Source organism: Homo sapiens, chromosome 10, assembly GCF_000001405.40.
Source record: "Homo sapiens chromosome 10, GRCh38.p14 Primary Assembly".
Lineage (NCBI taxonomy): Eukaryota > Metazoa > Chordata > Mammalia > Primates > Hominidae > Homo > Homo sapiens.
The window spans coordinates 76,623,498-76,625,483 of record NC_000010.11 but is presented as its reverse complement, the minus strand read 5'-3'; the positions used below and the strand labels follow the sequence as shown (position 1 = coordinate 76,625,483).

At 43.2% G+C, this 1,986-nt stretch overlaps 1 annotated feature.

Annotated features, from left to right (window-relative positions):
* Window positions 245–1,444: an enhancer, noted in NCBI's record as "CDK7 strongly-dependent group 2 enhancer chr10:78383798-78384997 (GRCh37/hg19 assembly coordinates)". NCBI's record gives its function as "activates an origin of replication core promoter dependent on BRD2, BRD4, P300/CBP, MED14 and CDK7 cofactors, with strong dependence on CDK7, by STARR-seq in HCT116 cells {active_cell/tissue: HCT116}" and the evidence as "EXISTENCE:reporter gene assay evidence [ECO:0000049][PMID:35650434]".

Here is a 1,986-nt window from a genome sequence, read left to right as displayed (position 1 = left end):
CTTTTTTCTGTCGATAAGCTCGCCTGGTACTCACAGACATTATCTTCACTCAGGACAGACGGCGGAAGAGGTGGTTTGCTCCCTCCTCACTCTGTCCTTTTAGGTTTCCAACATTTTCTGGACACATGTAGAATTTTTTTCAGGTGAGTGCCACAAGAGATCTAATAGAAGATGCATTTGTTTTTGACTCCTAATTAATCAAGATAACATCTCTCTCAACCATTAGACAGTAAAATCAATATCTCGGGTGGCTGTACCGCCAGTTAGACTTATACACCAATACCTATTATTGGCAAATCAGTGATATATTTAACCATGTTGCACTCTATCATTTTATAATATGCGAACAATGTGACTATGTTGAGAGTATGGAGAGATGGTGATTTCTGCCTGTGGAACCAATAATAGGATTTCAGCTACATCCCCAGTCCTGGTCCACTGCCTCCCACACCCAAAGCTGGGGTGTTGAGTCATTTTCCAGATTCTGAGGGGCATGAAACCACTCACTCATTATCAGGGATACCAGAATCCCAGGATGCAGAAAAGGTAGGTAGAGCAAAGATCCTAGATTCAAAGGTGGAACTACTATAAGAAATGTGGGTGTGTCAAGAGCTCGTTCCATAACAGAGAGCAATGGCTAGAGGTGACGGTGCTGTCTATTTTGAGGCTCTGCTCTCCAATTAAGAGTGGGAGTAGGAGAAGAAAGGGGACGGAAAGGGGAAGTGAAATCCTCTGTATAAGTAATATATGGAGGATCTCTGAGGTGTAGCTGAGAGGAAAACAAATTTCTCGGGGATTAGCTGTAGAGTTTGCATAAGTTACACCTACCTGAGTCATTGCGAACATTCTTTGAGGAAGCAACCAACAAGTCAAGGACTTCATGTAGGTGGAGGACTTTCTCTTGAGTCAGTCTGTTGCCTTCTCTTGACCTGGAGCTAGAGCACCAAGTGCATGATATGCTCCTCAATTCTCTAGGCACCGAGACACTGTGTGGTAGGCCAAAAAAGCATATAAGGTAAATGACTTACCATGGCCCCTACCTACAGACTTGTCAAGTCACTCAAGTCCTGCATCACTATTGCTTTTAGCTAGGGTTCCCAATGTCTCCATCTCCCTGAATTTTCATCTAATTAGTATTGCAAGACTCTTTAAGGCATGACAAATTCCAGGTTACCTGGGATTTTTTACCTTGAAGGTGAGGAAAGGCTGGTGAAGTGATATGGCTGCAGGGGCTGAATAAGGGGACCTACTGGGGCACCAAAGTCCAAAGGACCCAGTGCAGACCTTTAGATAAGGACAGTCTTCCAACTGATCCTTTTCCAGGAAGCATTCCTGACCTTCCCAAGCCTGCTCCTCCTTGCCCTGGCTTTACCTGGAATCCCCTTCCAAAACTCTAAAATGACATTTCTTCAGTTTTCACTGAGATATTTTCACTTTTTCTTCAATACTGTTTTTCCCCCAGGCCTGCTGGAGCTATACCTGCTGGAGCTTTCCTTTCATTGGAAAGCTATACTTGGAAAGTCAATGCAAACAGAAAAGTAAATTTACAGGAATATGATTATGCTACTGGGGTCTGTTCTTGTGATACCAAGATGGTGGGTCATAGATGTTGCCCTGAAGACATATGTGCACAATCCTCCAACAGGTGGAGGAACAACCCACAGTGTGTGGCTCTGTTCTGGTGACACTGCCTCTAATCTATGGGCCTCAGTTACATCCCCCAAATTGTTCCCCAGTAACTTGAGCTGTGGGCTCATTGAGAGACTCCTCTTCCATTCCTTGCTTTTTATCCAAACTGATAGTAACTAAGAGTTTATATTTCTTTGTCTATGAACTTGGTTCAATTTGTCACTGGAAATGATTTTTTTTTAATGTGTCCCTGTGCAGGAAGTGGAAGCTATAATTTGCAGCAGCAGTTTATGTGATATAGGGGCATAATGCCTCTTGCCCGATTTTTCATGGTATTTTTCTGTTTGTGACATTATT